This window comes from Homo sapiens, chromosome 10 (assembly GCF_000001405.40).
Source record: "Homo sapiens chromosome 10, GRCh38.p14 Primary Assembly".
NCBI classification, from domain to species: domain Eukaryota; kingdom Metazoa; phylum Chordata; class Mammalia; order Primates; family Hominidae; genus Homo; species Homo sapiens.
Genome location: NC_000010.11, coordinates 93,672,610 through 93,691,733, shown reverse-complemented (window position 1 = coordinate 93,691,733; position 19,124 = coordinate 93,672,610). Strand labels below are relative to the sequence as shown.

The following is a 19,124-nucleotide window of genomic DNA, read 5'->3' as shown; positions in this document are numbered from 1 at the left end:
TTCATCCTGACTCTAGTCTAGAGCCTCTAGTGATTGTAATGAATGACTTAACTCTACAGAATAATGTCTTATTTCACAGATGATGTTTGAAACTGATAGATTTTAAAAATTGATTACCATTTATAGAGATCCAGATGCACATCTTCTATTACATAAATGTCTATTCTAGTAAAATTAACATTTCAATCAGTGCTAATTAGTAATGACAGATTTCCTTTCCCACTTTACATCTTACTTTAGTTAATATTTTTATTTTTGGTTGGGCGTGATGGCTCATGCCTGTAATCTCAGCACTTTGGGAGGCTGAGGCAGGAAGATTGCTTGAGGCCAGGAGTTCAAGACCAGCCTGGGCAATATAGTGAGACTTTGTCTCCACAAAAACTAAAAAAAATTAGCCAGGTGCAGTGGTGCATGCCTATAGTTCTAGCTACTTGGGAGGCTGAGGTTAGAAGGTTGCTTGAGTCCAGGAGTTTGAGGCTGCAGTGAGCTATGATCGTGCCACTGCATTTCAGTGTGGGTGACAGTGAGACTCTAAAAAATAGAAAGTTACTTTTATTTCTATCTCAAACATCAAATTATAGCTGGAAAAGGTGACCCAGGAGCAGATCTCAGTTAGAAATGTGAGAGGAGGGAATGTTGCATAAATATGTGTTATAGATACTGTATATTTGTATTAAGAAAAAAACCTATTTAAAAAGCTATCTTGTATTTATCTATCATGAAGATTTATTTGTCATTTAAATCATTTGATCTCATTAGAACCAGGGTTGATTTAATAATTTTTTCAGTAGTGCCTTTAATATGTGTGTTGCTTCACAGTTTCTTATAGAAAATAGTAATAATGTTCATTTTGTATACCCTATTTATAAACCCGTGCACTTAATTTATCCCCAGAACTGCTGTTTCTTATGAACTAGTTATGGACTCTGGTTCACAGCTGTCTTCTCTGTACCACATCTGGTTCAAAAAGCACCACAGTAATTGGAGTTACTTAAAGTTACTGTATTGTAAATCAAGTGTGAAAATTATGTCTTTCTAGGAGCATGTAACAAAGGAGATTTTTCAGCCCTGGCTTATTCATGGATTGTTCTTAAGTTGTTGTTTTTTTTCTTTTTTTCATTTATTTTTCCCCACCTCCTAATACCATCATAATTCTTCAGTATTTTGTTGTTGTTGTCAGTATCTATTGAAACTGGACTAGGTACTGTGGGTTAATACATGGTGACTACTTTTCAGAAAAAGCTAGTCTAGTTGAGGGGAGAAAATATACATAAATAAAAATTAAATATTTGAGTTCTCAATTTTTCAAAAATGGATACCACTAGAAATCGTACTTTAAAGAAAATAATCTTGAAAAAATGTGTATTTTCCTGCTAGAACATGATGAGTGATTGTACATGAGAGTAAATGCAGCAAGAAATCCGATATGACTCGCAGATTCTGACCATGGATGCTGAGAAAAATACAGAATTTGGAGGAGGATTTTTTTTGTGGGGGGAAGATAATGAGTTTGGTTTTGGCATACCATGTTTGAGGTGTTGGAGAAAGAGTAATGCCTTTGGTTCCCTCACTAGGATGCATTTTCTCTTCTCTTTATTTATACAAAGACAATGTATTATTCAGTTAATTAAAACCAGCTCCTAATATATATAGTAGATACTTTTAGAGCATTTTTAGTGAATTTCCACCTTTGCCTCTTACTCCTATTCCTTTCTTTATTGCATTTCCCCTTTTTAGTTGGATCAATGTATCAGTTAGGATTAGGTCCAGCTGCAAGGACAGAGAAGACTCCCCGAAAAAAACCACTGGCTTAAATGAGCTGGAAAGTTTATTTTTCTTATACATAAAAGTTCAAGTCGATGGTCATAAAGTCAGAATCCTTCTTGTTTACTGCTTGCGTACGTGACCTCATTGTGATGAGTGCAGAGTGAGAAGAAAAGGAGGCTCAGCACCAAATCCTGAATAACTTCAGCTTTAATCCAAACTAGGACATTTATGTCAGGAAATAATATACAGTCTTTAACTAGTAGGATATAATGTAATTTGTTTTGTTACATTTATTATTTCCTCATAAGATTATAATCTTGGTGACACACTATTTTAATAATCACTTTTTATCCTCAGTGGAATGCCAAGCCCAATAGGTAGTTGCTTAATAAGTTGTCTGTTGAATAGATTAATGAATGAAGAAGAAAGTTTGGAAACTATTGCTGTTACACTTGGCTGTGCTTCAGTAGACATCCTAACATATGTTGGATGGCAAGCAATCTCCACATACATATATAGGCTGAAAAATAGAATTAAACAGAGTTATCCTGAAATTTTATTTTTTCCCCTAGATTTGGAGGATTTTATTTTTGTTGGGTTTTAATCAGAGTATTTTGAAATATTTTGAGCCTTTATTTGCATTTAAAATACAAAATTGCCAAATTCAAGTAATAGATTAATGATTTTTTAAAAAAAATAATTGAAATTGCCAGGCACGGTGGCTCTTGCCTGTAATCCCAGTACTTTGGGAGGCTGAGGTGGGAGGATAGCTTGAGGCCAGGAGTTCAAAACCAGCCTAGGCAATATAGTGAGACCTTGTCTCTATAAAAAATAAAATTAGCCAGGCAGGGTAGCACATGCCTGAAGTCCTAGCTATTCGGAAGGCTGAAAAAAAAAAAAAAAAAACCCCACAACAAACTGAAGTTAGCAAGGCATTGAACACTTTATATGAATCCTCTGTCTTACTATAACAATCCGGTGAACTTAAGGTTGTTACTATTTCCATTTTTATACATGAAGAGGAAGTAGAGAAGTTAAGTAACTTTCCCAAGGTTAAGACCTAATGAGTGACAAGAGCTTCTTGAGTTGGGTACAGGTATGCATGTTTCTAGACTGGAGTGGTTTTTTATTTGTTGTTATTTTTTGTTGTTGTAGTTTTTGTTTGTTTGTTTTGAGACAGGCTCTTGTTCAGTTGCCCAGGGTGGATGGAATGCAGTGGCATGATCATGGCTCACTGCAGCCTCCACCTCCCAGGTTCAAGTAATCTTCCCAAGTGTATTTTTTGTTTGCTTTTAATTTTTAGAGCATTTTTAGGTTTACAACAAAATTGAGCAGAAAGCACAGAATTCCCATATACCCCCTGCTCTCATACATGCATAACATCCCCTACTGTCAGCATCCCACACCAGAGGGGTACATTTGTTACAATCAGTGAACCTACGTTGATACATCATTATTTGAAGTCCATAGCTTACATTAGGGTTCACTCTTGGTATTGTACATTCAACTGCTTTGACAAATGTGTAATGACGTGTGTCTACCATTATAGTACCATAGAGAATACTTGCACTGCCCTAAAAATCCTCTGTGCTCCACCTGTTCATCCCACCCTCCTTCCTAATCCCTGGCAACTACTGATCTTGCTACTTCCTCCATAGTTTTGCCTTTTCTGGAATATCATACAGTTGAAATCATATATATGTAGTCTTTTCAGATTGGGTTTTTTCACTTTGTAATATGTACTTAAGTTTCTCCATGTCTTCATGGTTTGATATTTCTTCTTACCACTGAATAATATTAATTGTCTGGATGTACCACAGTTGTTTATCCATTCACTTAATGAAGAACATCTTGGTTGCTTCCAAGTTTCAGCAATTAGAAATAAAGTTGCTGTAAACATCTATATTTAGGTTTTCATGTGGACATTAGTTTTCAGCTCATTTGAGTAAATACCAAGAAGCATGATTGTTGGAGTATACTAGTTACTATTCTAAGTGTTTCATATGTATTATCTCATTTAAACCTCTTTAAACCTCTGTGAGTACCAAGGAAGTAGGTACTCATATTTCTACTTTACATATATGAGGAAGCTGAGGCAAAAAAGAGATTAATTTGCCCAGTACTATACAACTGTTAAGTGGTAGAGCTAAAATGCAAATGTAAATAATCTGACTCCAAAGGCTGTACTTTTTTGTACTAGAATATACTACCTCTTTACTATACCATAACCTCTTTTTTTCTTGTCAGTCTTACAGAACAGGATATATTATTTGTTAACTTAGGTATCTTGTGGCCTGGCACCTATAACTTTTAAGCTATCTTAAAGTAGATTGTTCTTAACAGATAAATTGGTGATTGTTCAATGTATTTTCTTCAAATCCTATAAGAAGAGAAAAATCTGTCATGATGGGAATTACATTTATTTTTTAGGTTGGTGAATGTCATTGTTGGCTCCATGTTTAGATTTCTGTATAATTTAAATTTACATTGGCATAAATGTAATTTTTTTATTATCAGTTTGGATTTAGGTGGCGAGTAGAAAAAGAAGTAATTTCAGGAAAAGGTAATTCTTTAAAATTTTTACTTTTTAATAGGATAAACTTATTTTGTTAAGTTACTGAATTGGAGTCATTAAGATCATTCCTAACATATACAAGAAATTATTAGCTACAAAAGTAAAATTAGAGAAGGTGTATTCATGATACATTATTAGCAAAGGTCTGAATATAATGCTTTAATGATTATTACCTTTATACTTTTGCCTTTAGAACATTCAGTTGAATGTTCTGCATATTTCTAAGTATGTAGAAAATATTTTACAAATTAAAGATTTCATAGCAAGACAACTTTCAACAAAAAAGAAAGGTTTATTTTTTTCCTTTCTTTATTAATTTTTGGAATAATGAATTGGTGTTACTGTTTTTCAGCCAAATCCACATTTCAAAAGTAGAAGTTAAATATCACTTTAATCCCAATAGAATTTTGGGGCAGGCTAGTACTCATTTTTGGAAGTCCCTTATATTGAGCCCAAATACTTAGTCTAATAGCAAAAGACCAGACATTTGGTAGGCAATCAGTAAATGCTTTTTCTATGCATTATTGTAAATCTATTCATTAAATTTTTCCTGGAAATTGTGTATCTCCATACTGTCTCTTGCTATAAAATTAGCTCCTTACTGAGTAATTGCATTTTAAGTGTTAAAGTACTGAAAACTATATAGTAGCACTAAGGAAATAATTTTAAACTTACTTTAAAAAACCTTTTAAATGGAAAGATTACATTTTTAAATGATTAAATATTTATGCTATCGTGGCTCATATATATCTTCCATAAGTTGGCTATGTTAGGTGTGAAATTGCATATGCCATAAAACAACATTAAGGAAAAAGAATAAATTTAAAGCTATTTTAACTTTTCTTAGGGTTATATTTTAGTTTATGTTTTTATCTAAAATAATGAGAAATCCTGAAATGTCTATCACAATTTTAAGATGTACTTTTATTGAATGAGATTTTCAGGTGAGTTTATAATGCTACCTTTTAAAAAAATTGATGGGTAGTCTCTAAATTCATATAACTGAATAAAAGACTAGTTAGGAAAGGGAAAGAAAGCTGCTAATGTGATTTATGTGATTTCTTTTATAAAGTTATAATTTTGTTGCTGTTTTAACAACAAAGCCTTACCTACTAAACATATAGATTTAATAAAATATTCATTTGGAATGAGTTTAAAAGGCTGATTTAGAAATAAGTCTTTTTAGGATATAATTTTCTAAATTCATTTTGATAATTTCTTAATTTTTATGAAAAAGATTTGCTGGTTACAGATTTGCTTCTGTTAGTGCAAATTATTGTGATATAAATTAATAAGAGTTTGATCTTGTCTTTTTGCCAAAGTAAATTACTGTTGAGTTGTTTCTCTTTTTTTCTCTCAGGTTATCAGTTAGTCTTTTTTTGGAGGTTTTAATATATTGTGGACATGGTAATGTGTGTGATGTTAATAATAGTGTCAAGTTATTCTAAAATTTAGAGTATCAGGTTTGACTGCGTATTGTACTTCACCTCAAAGTGCTAGAATTTTTAAATGTGTTTTCAAGGCCATCTATGCTAGTATTTAAAATAAATGTCATTATGCTAATACTTAAAACTATTAACTATTATTACCATTAAATATTGAAAGGTTTCACCCAGCTATAAGTGTGTGTACTTTGGAAAGTGCGTTTTTTTTTGGGGGGGGTATTTGTGAGTATGTTGTTTTTTTTGTTTTTGTTTTTTTATTTGTTTTTCCTTAAACCAACTTTCTGAGAAATATGTCCATTCTTTAATACTGTCTTTCCAAAGTGTAAGATTCCCTAATAGGGAGTCGCTAAAATGTCTATCTAAATACAGTCTATCAAGCAAGAATTCTGTGACTGATTTTTTTTGGTAACAGTACTTTGATTTGATACTTGTATACAAGTTGGTTGAACATATTACTCTGGTCAGTTTTTAAAGGCTGACTATGGTTAATTTGCATATTTTAGAAGTACATTTTAGGGGTAATACTAGATCATATAGATAAATATTATCACCAACTACCATAGCTAATATTCCTTTCCTTTCTGCAGGTCAATTTTTCTGTGGAAATAAATATTGTGATAAAAAAGAAGGCTTAAAGAGTTGGGAAGTTAATTTTGGTTATATTGAGCATGGTGAGAAGAGAAATGCACTTGTTAAATTAAGTAAGTTGATTTTAGGGGGTATATGATTGATTCTTCCAAGTTTGTCTTTAATTTAAAAATATATAGACTTTAAAATTCAAATGCAATTTTTAACATATCTTTCTGGAAGTGCTCTTTTTTCTTGGAGCTTCCCAAAGTCTCAAAGAACTTTTCAGCCTCAGTTTTTTACATTTTTAGCATTACAGTGGTGTTTCAGTAAAAAGAATTCTAATGTCAAATGTAAACTGGTAATTTGTAGAGTGGGGCTCCGTCCCCATTAACTTGAGAATGCCACCACATTACATAGCTAAGAGGCACAGTATCAGAAAAGGCAGTGTAATCTCACATTAGCTGATTACTCAGTGATATCGTTGTAGCACAGATAATAAACAAATTCACTCTGTTTCACAGTATTAATAAAGAAAAACTTTAGGAAGGCATAATTGTTCTTGACCTCAGTCTTAAAACCATAGGGAATAAATACTCCAGAATACAGCAGTTTCCCTTAGGATGCATGTTTTAGAGTCTGTCATTCTTTTATTTATTTTTTAAGTTAGTCTTCATGTGTCAGCTGTTCCTCTAGCCTTCTCTGGGTCCTAAGTAAATGTGCCTTCAGAGTTTTCTGCTCATACCTAATAAAAGTCAAGAATGTCCCCACATGCTACGTATGCATGTCAATACAGACTGATTTCTGAGTTCCTTCTGGAAGTGCTCAAGAGGAAAAGTCAGCCAGTGTGAACTGAGATTAAGGCAAAAAAAAAAAAAAAAAGAGACCACAATTATGGAACTATTTGAAAAGCTCCTTTGCATTTGAAAGTTCTTAGAGCACTTCAGAGGAAATGACTATACTCACATTATTATTAGATATCTTTGATGTGAGACACATGTTAATGTGCCTGTGGAACACAGTTTGTTTTTGGAACAAATTGACAACACATTTTTCTAAAATAGTGTTATTTTCAATTCCTCAAGCTAATATTTTTATTATATGTATGTGTGTATATATTTGCATTTTTGAGGTGATGAAGGTCAGATTGTTTTCTTTGGATTGTTTGTTTACCCTCTTATAGTAATGGAATATAAAGAAAGTGCGAATTTATGATATTAAAAGTAGATTAGCAGTGTGGTTATTCAAAATCAGCCATTCAGTGGTGTCTTTTCTTTTTAGGGTTATGCCAAGAATGTTCCATTAAATTAAATTTCCATCACAGGTAATGTCTTTTAAAATGCCATTCTTAATGTTTAGTAATCCAGGATATAGTCATTTACCTGCACTAAGTATCTAAATGTAGACTTAGGTGGTTGATGGTTGAATTGGTTGATCATGTAGAAAATGTGGCATTGTCGTATGGCTACATAAACGAGGGGTTTAGAAGTCCGCTATGCCCTATTCTTGCCAAGCAGTTTTAAATGTAAAGGCCTATGTGAGGTGGTAGATGGATGTTAGAATTTTTAGTTTGGAGCCAATGTTCTGACACTTTAATATTAGAAATTATGTTGTAAAGCAGACTTCATAAAGCAGTTCTTGTGTCTCATTTAGACAGTGTTTTAGCTGGAGTTTGCCATTCTTACAAAGGATTAGACACCTCTATACTCATTTTAAATGTTAAAATCAAGAACAGGCGCGGTGGCTCATGCCTGTAATCCTAGCACTTGGGGAGGCCAGTTTGGGTGGATCACTTGAGGTCAGAAGTTCGAGACCAGCCTGGCCAACATGGTAAAACCCTGTCTCTACTGAAAATACAGAAATTAACTGGGCGTGGTGGCAGGTGCCTGTAATCCCAGCTACTGGGGAGGCTGAGGCAGGAGAATTGCTTGAACCTGGGAGGCAGAGGTTGCAGTGAGCCAAGATTGAGCCACTGCATTCCAGCCTAGCAACAGAGCAAAACTCTGTCTCAAAAAAAAAAAAAGTTAAAATCAGGCTTTTATTGAATGAGCTTTAATGTATCTGCCACATTGAATGTGTGGGAATACCAGTGTCCTGCAGTTATGGGGTTTGAAATCAGACCTCAGTTTTTAATCTCAGCTTCTCCGCTTACTAGGCTTCTTCTTGGGCAAACTGCTTAACCTCTGTAAGGCTTAATTTTATCACCTGTAAAAATGAGGCTACTCAGGCTATTGTGGGGAATAAATGAAAGTGCATGTAAAGTGCTTGCCACAGTACCTGGCATTAAAGATGTTCACACTGATTCTTCGCAACTTGCCTTTGTGATGGTCAGGTTTTATGCGCTGGATAACAGTTAAAAGTTCAGCTTTTGCAACTTTATAAAATGTATACATAAGCATATTAATTTTAAAATAGCTTTCTTTTTTTTAATCACATGGGTTGTCAAAAAATAACAGCTTTGTTATAAATGTGCCTATATAGTATTTTAGCTGTTAAAAATAAATGTTAAATAATATTTTTAATTCTTAAAATTAGCAGGATTATTTTTATTATTTTCATTATTCTTTATTTTTTTGAGACAAGGTCTCACTCTGTTGCCTAGGCTGAAGCACAGTGGTGTGATCATGGCTCATTGCAGCCTCAGCCTCCTGGGCTCAAGTGATCCTCACACCTCAGCCTCCAGAATAGCTGAGACTACAGGAGTACATCACCAAACCTGGATAATTTTTTTTTAAAGTTTTTGTAGAGATGGTGTTTCCCTATGTTGCCCAGGCTGGTCTCAAACTCCTGGACTCAAGCAGTCCTCCTGCCTCAGCCGCCCAAGGTGCTGGGATGATAGGCATAAGCCTCCACACTTGGCCAGAACTTTTTTGGATTACTGGAATAGCCTAAACCTTTATTTCCCCTTCCCATCAGTGATACTGAAAGAAAGCAGGGATTTGTTTTGACCTTGACTTTTGAGCTTCATTTCAAAATGGAAATGATTCTTACAAAATATGCAAAAGTGGTTAATGCATTAAATACTATTATAGCATTTAGTAGATGTACTTTAACTTGGAAAATCTACTGAACAAGTTTTTTGAAAGTAATCTTTTCCTTTGTCTCTATTCTCCTTGCCAGTCCCAATTTCAGCATTATCACTTTTTCCCATTTAGTATTTCTTTTCTTAACCTATTAAAATTAATTAATTGTTTGCCAACCTTGTAAACCTGCTCTAGAAGAGATAAAGCTGCAACAATAAGAGTATAAATTATAAGTGGCCTGATGTTGATATATGAATTAACAATAAGCCCTTTCCATTTTCATTCCATTATGCTTCTACTATATTCCTTTATTCTTAAGAGTAGAAATTTCTATTTACTGGTGGCTTAGAGCTGTTCAGCAGTTTCTTCTTCTTTGTGTTTTTTTAACATGTAGGTGGATATGGATTATGTGAAGGGAAATGAGGCTTTTTTTTGTAATTTAGTTTTAAATGGCTAAGTGATAGAATATAGAAAGAAAGAAACAAATACAATTATAATTTGTATTTACTATGGTCGTATACAGAACTTATAGAAAGTAATTATTTGTGTCAGTGTTAAGACTTCATTATCTTATAGAATGATTTTAATTAATATACAAGCATAAAATATTTACAGTCTCACTTAACGTTCCTTATTATATAAATCACATTTAAAAAATAAGTATTTTAACTGATTTTGGTTTTTTGTTCATATGATGGTTATTTTTGAAAAGGTCAGTTGGAAAAGTTAACTTTAATTTTATATTGTTTAACACAAAGGAGAAAAGAAATCAAGTCAAAAAAAAGAAAAGATAAAACCAAAAAAGACTGTGAAGAGTCATCACATAAAAAATCCAGATTATCTTCTGCAGAAGAGGCCTCCAAGAAAAAAGATAAAGGTAAAAGGAAATTAAGATAAGGCATCTACTCACATTTGTGAGCATGAAATATAATCTGCCATATTTCATTCATCTAATTGGTGAATGCATTGAGAATTTCATTTTATGGTAGTTGAGAGGAAACTGGCTGAGAATTTAGATATGAACTTAAAGTGACTTACAGGAGTTTTAAGAACTCCTCTAAATTAATTAAGGGTTAATTTTAGTTCATTTTTGGCAGATAGTATAATATTGCCAACAGTTTTCTAATTCCTGGCTTTGTCACCTACAGACTTGTTACTTTGCATCAGTCACTGAACTGCTTTATTTTTCTTATGTGTATAGGGGTGAGGTGCATACCTGGCCTTCATACTGGTCAAGCTTATTGTGGAAACTCAAATAAGAATGTGAAAGGGACTTTGATCAGTGCCTTTAAACAGTCTATAATCTATAAATCAATATAAAATTGTAACACTGATTTTATTTATAATGGCCTGTGTGACTTTTTTTACTAGTTTATGAGTTTCTAGAAATGAGAAAGATTGTCATATATCTGTGTTCTCAGAGCCTAGCATGGTGCTGTGCACCTATACTTAGAACTGCCTGCTTTTTCTTTAGCAGTCCTTAAGCTCGCTAAGACTCAATTTCTTCATGTGTAAAATGGTCTTGATTCCTTTTAGAATTGTTCAGAAGTTGAAACGAGATAATTCATTAAGCAGTTTGCATAGTACTTGGCACATATTAGCTATTATGAAGGTTACTTCTAGTTGCTTTTTTTAGCCCATAATAAAGTAGAGTCAATCGGCTGTAATTTATAGTGAATCAGACTAATCTAGATAGGTAATTGAATTAGATTCAAGCCAATGTTAATATAATATTTGGACAGGAGAGGGCTCTCTTGCTCCAGCTATGAAGATCATTAGCTATGTTGCATGCTTAGAAGCATTTACTTCTTCTTGCACATGGTAATATATTCATTATGTAGCAGAGTTTAAATCTGTGTGCCCTTGTGATACTGTCTACTCCCATAGCTTCAAGTATATGGTGTCACCAACCTTTAGACTTCGTAAAATTGATAGATGGTGAGAGGAAGATATTGTTATTTTATTGCTTATTGAGAGATGGCATTTGTAGCAGAATGCCTTTTTTGTCTCTATCTTAATTATTTTCCACTCTAAGGTAAATTTTAACCAATAAATGTTAAAAATATGTTTTGAGTTTTAAAAACTTATTTATCCTTATATGCTAGTAAAACATTTAATATGTCACTTAAGAAATTTGTTGCCCTCATTGTATTATATGTTCATTCTTATCACAACTGTGATACCATGTTAATCACTGCGTATTCCAAATGAAAGAACTAGTCTCTACTTTATAAAATGTTACTCAGTACAATCAAAGTAGATCAGGTAGATGAATGCTCAGGTTCAGGGCTAAGGTTGGACCCTTCGTATTATGCGTACATATGCACATGATCTTCCTTATAGACATTTTTCCCTTAGTGTTCTGTCAGTAGATGACACCTATGTTGACCTAAAAACTAATATCAGAAATCTGGGGATTATCCTTGATACTTTCTTTCCCCTTATTATTTATGTTTAATTTGTCACCAAGTCCTGTGAATTTTACCCCCAGAGTATATATTTCTCAAGTTCTCTCCACCCTACTACAAACCACTATATTTTCTCTTATAGGCTACTGTTATATTCTCCTTACGGGTTCCGCCTCTGTCTTGCCATCCCACCTTCCCTCCTCTTAATCCATTCTCCATAAATCAGTGATTTCCTGTTGTTTTTAGGCTGATAAGCAAAATCCTGGACAAAGCTAAAAGGTTCTCTGTGATCCAGAACTTGTGTACTATACAAGGCTTGTTTCTTACCACTCTGTACCTCACGTTCACACTCCCCCCATGTAGCCTTTCAGTTTCTGGAAAATGTCAAGCCTCTTTCAATTTTAGGGGTTACATGGATGCTGTGTCTTCTCTTCCTAAAACTCTCAGTTCTATCCCAGCTCATCCTTCAGGTCTAAGCTCTTAAATGTCATTTCCAAGGATCCTTTCCTGATTTCATCCCCCACCTTGAATCTAAATTAGGACTCTCATTTGTAATGCTGTCATGGCTCCTGACACTTTCCATTATTACACATATGACGATGTAAAAGCCAAAGAGGCAGAGATTCTGCCTGCTTTGTTCATTGCTATATCCCCAGCACCCCACTAGCTCATGTTCAGCATAAATAATAATCAGTAAAGGACTTTGAAGATTCTTCAGGGATAGAAGACCAAAGCAAGGTGGAATTGAGACATCTCTTTCTTATGTATTCTCTATTTAGAATGCCTTTGAAAGCAAAGTCTCTAGAAATATAGCTTTTTTACCCCCAACTTCTATGGTATATAACAGAAAATAACAAAATTTTAGCAAACTTTTAGGAAAACCATGTGGAACTCTTTAATATCTTATCTGGGATCATCTAGAATTAGCTTTATCATTGATTTGATTCTTTCTTGCCAGACCACCTTAATTTGGACCAGACTTGAAGAGTAATTAATAAACGCTTAACATCTCAGCTGCGTTTGGACTGTTGACAACTTCCTTTAATTTTATTTCTATCTTTCTGGCCTCTCTTTAGCTAATGCTTTTTTTTTTTTGTAAGACAGGGTCTTGTTCTGTCACCCAGGCCCCAGGCTGGAGTGCTGGAATACAGTGGCATGATCTTGGCTCACTGCAGCAGGCTTAACCTCGGAGGCCCATGTGATCCTCCTTTCTCAGCCTCCCAGGTAACTGGGACTACAGGCCTGCACTACCATACTCAGCTAATTTTGTTGTTGTTGTTGTTGCAGAGACAGGGTCTTGCTGTTTCCCAGACTGGTCTCAAACTCCTGGCCTCAAGCAATTCTCTCACCTTGGCCCCCCAAAGTGCTGGGATTACCAGCATGAGTCATCACACCCGACCTCCTTAGCTGCTTTTAACTGAAGTTCCTTCTCAGTCTTACATTTAGCTGTTAGAGTTCCTCGGGGCTCTTACCTAGATTTCTCTAGTTTCTCTCTGTACTCCCAGTGTAATCCCATCAACTCTCATAGCTTTAGGTTACCGTCTTAGAAAATGTTAAATAAGTAATAGATGGATGAACTAGATAGCTGAATGAATGGATAGAGAGAAAAAATAAGAAAGATCAGTAGCTGACTTTAAGGACCAGTCTGCTTTGGCAGGTATGAGGAGAACAAGATATTTAGGTAGACTGTCTTGGCAAAATGTTCAGAATCTTATCTGTCTCACCATCACCCCTTTCCCAAAAGCTACGTCATCCTTCAGGTTTCTGCTTAGCTCAATTCCTTGGAAAGGCCCTTCCTGACACCCTTCTCCTCACTTCTCCAAATAAGATTATGTTCCTCTTACATATTCCAATAATACCTGTCACTTCTCCTTTAGAAATACATAGTATCCTTGGAATAAATTGTTTATTTTCTGTAAGGGAAGGGACTGTGTGACATGTTTACTTCGTTATCTCTAATTCCTAATAGTGCTTGCTCCCATAGGAGGCATTCAATAAGTGTAGGTGAGTGAATCAGTGAATTCAACCACATTTTCTGAAAGTTGAAAGGAACTTCAGAGATCAGTCCTGGAATCATGACTGAAAGGATATTCTTTAATTTTGCTTTTCAAAGTAAAGTCCTCTGGGCAGCATTTAGGAACTTGTTAGCAACTCACAATCTCAGACCCTTCCAGATCTACTAACAAGTTCCCAGGGCGAATCATATGCACTAAAGTTTGAGAGAGGCACTGTTGTATATTATGTGATTGTTCTGCATTGGTTCAACATTTCCAGGGAAAAGGAACCCACTACTATCAAAAATAAAGCTTTACATTTTCAGGTAGTTGTATTTGCTAGCACGTTTCTCTTAACATTCAGCCAAAATCTACAGCTTCCTCCCTTTGGTTCTAATTATGTTCTTGGGCCTCCAAATTAAGCCTAACGTCTTTTTTACCTATGGACCTTTGGATATTGGGAAGCAGGTATCATGTTCCTCATTAGAGGATGACAGGAAAGAATACATTTCCTGTTTCCTTACCCTGTAGTTCTTATACTCTTCATCTGGTCTAAAGGGGCCAAAAACTTTGGGTTACGAGGCCTCCTATCCAGGAACATTGGAGGAATTGTTACTGTCCATCTGTCACCTGCCCTTTTTTACTTTATCATCCTTCAGAAATATTTTCCCTGAGGTCTTATTGCAGGAAGCTCTGTATCGTGGTGATTTTTTTTTTAAATTACACTGACCGATCTTCAGTGCCTTTCTCTCTCTCTTTCTCTCACTGGATGACCATTGTAGAGCTGAGAATTTTTGTTTTATGACATAATTGTGTTGTGTTCTTATCAGTTTCTGAGAACTAATACTTACCTGCATATATGACTTTAGAAAAGATACTGTAAAAAGCAAGTATTTATTTGTAAACTGCTTTCAAATGTTGAACATCTCTATAGATAATAAATTATTGCTTATATTGCAGCTAATTATCTGTGAGGTTTTCTTTTTAGCAATATGAGATTTTTTTTGCAGGTATTCATTATTTTTTGTTTTGTGCTGGCTATTACAGACCATATGAGCACATAAGATATGATCTCTGCCTAAAAGAACGTAACATTTTAATGAGGGAGATAAGACTAAGGAACATGAAAGATTAGAAAACAGTGAAGTGCTTATCTGTAAGACTATAAGCAAACTAGAATATTGCTAAGAATTCTGGTTATAGCTACAATGATTGCACTATTACAAGATGATAGTTAATAAATCAATGATGTTTCCTTTTCAGGACATTCATCTTCAAAGAAATCTGAAGATTCTCTACTTAGTAAGTAACAAGTGTTTATTTAATAAAAATATGCATTTGAGGTATTTGCAATTTAGATTTCCCATGAATCGTATCTTGCTGTGATGTGAATTATTTTTTGTTTTTGTTAATTATTTTTGTACATGAGAAAAACTGTAGAAAAAAGGCCAAAAGTGTATAGGATTTATTCCCCAATTAAGGGCATTAAGAAGTTTCTTATTTTAAGTATAGAGAGCATTAAAAATTTTTCCAGTAAATACAATGGATATATCTTTCAATTTCATGTTATAAAATGTGAAGGAAGAAAGATAAAGGGATGAGGTTGAAATGGATTTAAATTAGGCCTATGGTTTTCACTAGTTTGGATCAAAACAGATTGGATTTCGTTGAGTATTTGCTGCAAATTTTATTATTTTTTCCCTGCAATATTCCAAAAAGTATTCACAATGACTTATAAAAACATACACAATAAGTTTTTTTAAGGTTAAAAAAGTCAGAATAATGGAAAAATAAGGTAGAATAGCAATGTAAAACTACAGGTGAAATTTATACACACAAATGTATTCCAAAAAGTCCTGCATAATTGCAGAGATAGATCACAGATTTGTCAGTGTTCTTCCTAACAACCAAACCTAAGAGTGAAACCAGCAATAGAAAGATTAATTGTACCCATAAGATAATAATGAGAACTCCTGGAGTGTTCAGCTTTTTGCTGGCAGTTTTGAGAGAAGAGTCTTCTATGGGTTTATAAAAGGGTACATCCATTTGTGTCATAACAAACAGTAGCTTTGAATCTAAACAGTAATATAATGTTGAATTTTTTAAAGACTTGTAGTAGGCTCAAGGCCTAATAATAAGGTGTAGTTCAATAGCATATCTAATTCATTTTATACTCTCTGGACTTATCTCATAGAAATTTAGAAACTTGAGATTTCTAGGCTTACTTAGTTATTTTATTTTATTTTTTTGGAGATGGAGTCATGCTCTTTCACCCAGGTTGGAGTGCAGTGGCGCGATCTCAGCTGACTGCAGCCCCTGCTTCCCAGGTTCAAGTGATTCTCCTGCCTCAGCCTCCCAAGTCGCCGGGACTGCAGACACCCATCACTATGCCCAGCTAATTTTTGTGTATTTAGTAGAGATGGGGTTTCACCATGTTGGCCAGGCTGGTCTTGAACTCCTGACCTTGTGATCTGCCTGCCTCGGCCTCCCAAAGTGCTGGGATTACAGGCGTGAGCCACCACGCCTGGTCACTTGGTTATTTATAAACCTAAGAATTAAGAAAAAATTTTTTATGACTTTAAAATAATATTTATTGTGGCAAACTCAGGGAAAAAAGTTTGATGATTATTCTAAATTTCAAAACTCAAATATAAACATTATTTGCATTTAGTATAATTCTTAACAAGAAATTTTAAATATTCAATGATCAGAAATTTTGCACTGAGAAAAATAGAAATGTTAAGATATTTGTTGTTTAAAAATTTAGCAGAGAGGGAGATGTTGATGGAGGTATTCCTCTCTTAGGAATATAGTATATTCCTTATAATTATTTTGCTTGTACGAACTTTGTTTTCAACATATTTGAAGTGTCTTAAAGCACTGACTCTTTCTCTCCACGTAAATTCTAATTTATCAGGAGGTCCTTTCCTAAATTAGGTAAAATGTAGTGACAGTTTCGAAAATACATTCAAGTATAAGACCAGTGGACCAATGTTATCTCAGGATGAAATCATAGATACATACTTCAACAAAGGTGTACACAGGCTAAAGTGGGAGAGTGTATTTTAGTTTTCATCCATTTCCAACAGTGAGAGGTGTGAATGCTTATGCAATATAGAAAAAATTCCCCTTTTTCAGTTCTAATTTTTTATCCTTAAAAAGTCTTTTGGGGCAAATTCTTGAATCACTGATTTATATTATTCTTTTATTTCTTCTGCCTGCCTTCTCCTTCCCACTGTCTTTCACCCCCTGCCCTTTGAATCCTTCCCTGCTTCCTAGAAATAGCCCTTAATGCTCTTTTACCTCTCCTCAGCTAAGTCAAATTTTTACTAGTAGAAGCAGGGTGAATACTGTGAAGACTATATCCAATCTGAGAAACCCCTAGCTAATTTGATCTTGAAAAAACAAACTATCCACTTCAAGCTGACCTGCTGTTTGGCAGCCGGTACGCTATTTACCATAGCAAGCATGAAACATATACATTGTTATGGTATGCCAACCCCAGATATCCTCTCAGGTGGTCAGTCATCTGTATTACATGGTCTTGGCAATTTCAGACCTCACATTTTGCTCTTTATTTCCATTTGGACAATACTCAGTTACCTTCTTAACCCATTTGACACCTGGATTATTAAAACCAAATCCATGGAGAAAAACTCAATTTCTGTTGGGACAGTAACAAGTGCTTTAGATATGTTACCTCATTTAATCTTAATAATGTGCATATAATATCCTCGTTTTGTAGATGAGAAAAATCAAGACCTAGAGAATGTCTTTAAATGAATGAAGAAACTCAATTTTTAAAAATATATATATTTAAAGTATACAACTTGATGATTTGCTGCCCTCTTAACAAATTTCAAGTATTGTTATCTTTAGTCACCTTGCACATGAGATCGCCCAAGAACCAAAGAATTGAAGTAAAGTGCCCAAGGTCAAATAGTTAATGGCAAAGCTGGGATTAAACATAAGTTTATAATTCCAAAGTCTATGCCCTTTACCTGTATCATCAATCAATAACTGTTCATCAGTGAAATCAACTGTATGTCTATTCTTTATACCTCAGTTTTGGCATATGCATTGTACAGATCCACATTAAATGATTTGATCTATGTTTCACTTCTGTCTATAAAATGGGTATAAAGAGACCTACTTCGTTGGATTATTATCAGAATCAAATGAGAAAACATACATGTAAAGTATGTGCCTGACGCAAAGTAAGTCCTTGATAACCTGTAGCTATCATTGTTATCAGAGAAAAGAAAAATACAGACATATAAATCCTGTGTTTGTTCTCTAGAATTGATGAAATCAAAAGTTAAGTCTATAAAAATCTGACCTGTCCATTTGTTACCATGATTATTGGAGACATTTGCCATTTCTTCAGTGGTGCAAGTTATTAGTTACCATATAATATCCACAAAAACCAAGATGATAGACCTACTTTCATTATTCAAAACATGTAGGAAAAATTGTATATAATTTTAGGCACCACACTCTAAAGGGAACATTGAAAACTTGAAGCAGGTCAAGAAGAAAAAAACTGAGGTATGGAGAAAACTTGAAATTATATTGTAGGAAGAATGTTGGAGGAACTGCAGATGTTTACCTGGGAGAAGAGTGAAAGGATGGGAGGGAAGAGGTGAGGAAGTAGACATGGAAATTACTGTATGGATATTTGCAAGGCTGCTACTATGTAGGAGACTTATTTTTTATGACTCTGGGTTGGCAGAACTGCCCAAAAACAGATTTTTGCCTTAATTTAAGGAAAAACTTGTCCCTTAGAACTGTCTGACAAAAGGAATGGAGAAATGGGCTGCCTCTGGAGTAGCGAGTGTTCCAGCATGGACTGGATTGGCACTTATTGGAGGTGTTGCAGTGAAAGTTCATTCATTGGATAAGTGTTGGATTAAATGACCTCCAGGTTCCCCTTTCAACTCAGAAAGTCAGTGACTTAAATTCTGATCCCTACTTACCAATAATCACTGAATAGATTTGACAGTGATGCATTCTTTTGTGTTGCCTGTTCTTCCAATTGTTATTTCCTTAGTAACACTCCTCCCGCCCCTGGCAGGTTGTAACAGTTATGATAGCAATGATTTGTAGTGACTGCCAACCCTCAGGGAACCAGGATACTATAGATTCATAGGGTTATAAGGGACCTTAAAGGTCATTTAGTCCAGTCTTGTAGACTTGATTCTCTAGGGATATCTGGCCACTTTTTTAGTGGGTATTTTTTAAGACAGTTAGTTTATAATGTTACTCTAAACTGACTTGATTTTTTAGTAAAATTGACTGGTATCAGAAAACTGGTGTAAGAAAGCTGGCATGTGGGAAGTACTCTT

At 34.5% G+C, this 19,124-nt stretch overlaps 1 protein-coding gene across 6 annotated transcripts in view; it reads left to right on the top strand.

Moving 5' to 3' along the window:
• FRA10AC1 (FRA10A associated CGG repeat 1) overlaps positions 1-19,124 on the top strand; it is a 35,077-nt gene that overhangs the window by 11,226 nt on the left and 4,727 nt on the right. For all 6 annotated transcript variants that reach the window (NR_144635.2, NM_001347714.2, NM_145246.5 and 3 more), the window contains 5 exons: positions 4,285-4,330; positions 6,375-6,488; positions 7,636-7,678; positions 10,136-10,254; positions 15,043-15,081. Coding sequence is in view for 5 of the 6 variants with exons in the window: in NM_001347714.2 (NP_001334643.1) it covers positions 4,285-4,330; positions 6,375-6,488; positions 7,636-7,678; positions 10,136-10,254; positions 15,043-15,081 (361 nt within the window). In the remaining variant the exon portion in view is untranslated. The remainder of the gene's footprint in view (positions 1-4,284; positions 4,331-6,374; positions 6,489-7,635; positions 7,679-10,135; positions 10,255-15,042; positions 15,082-19,124) is intronic.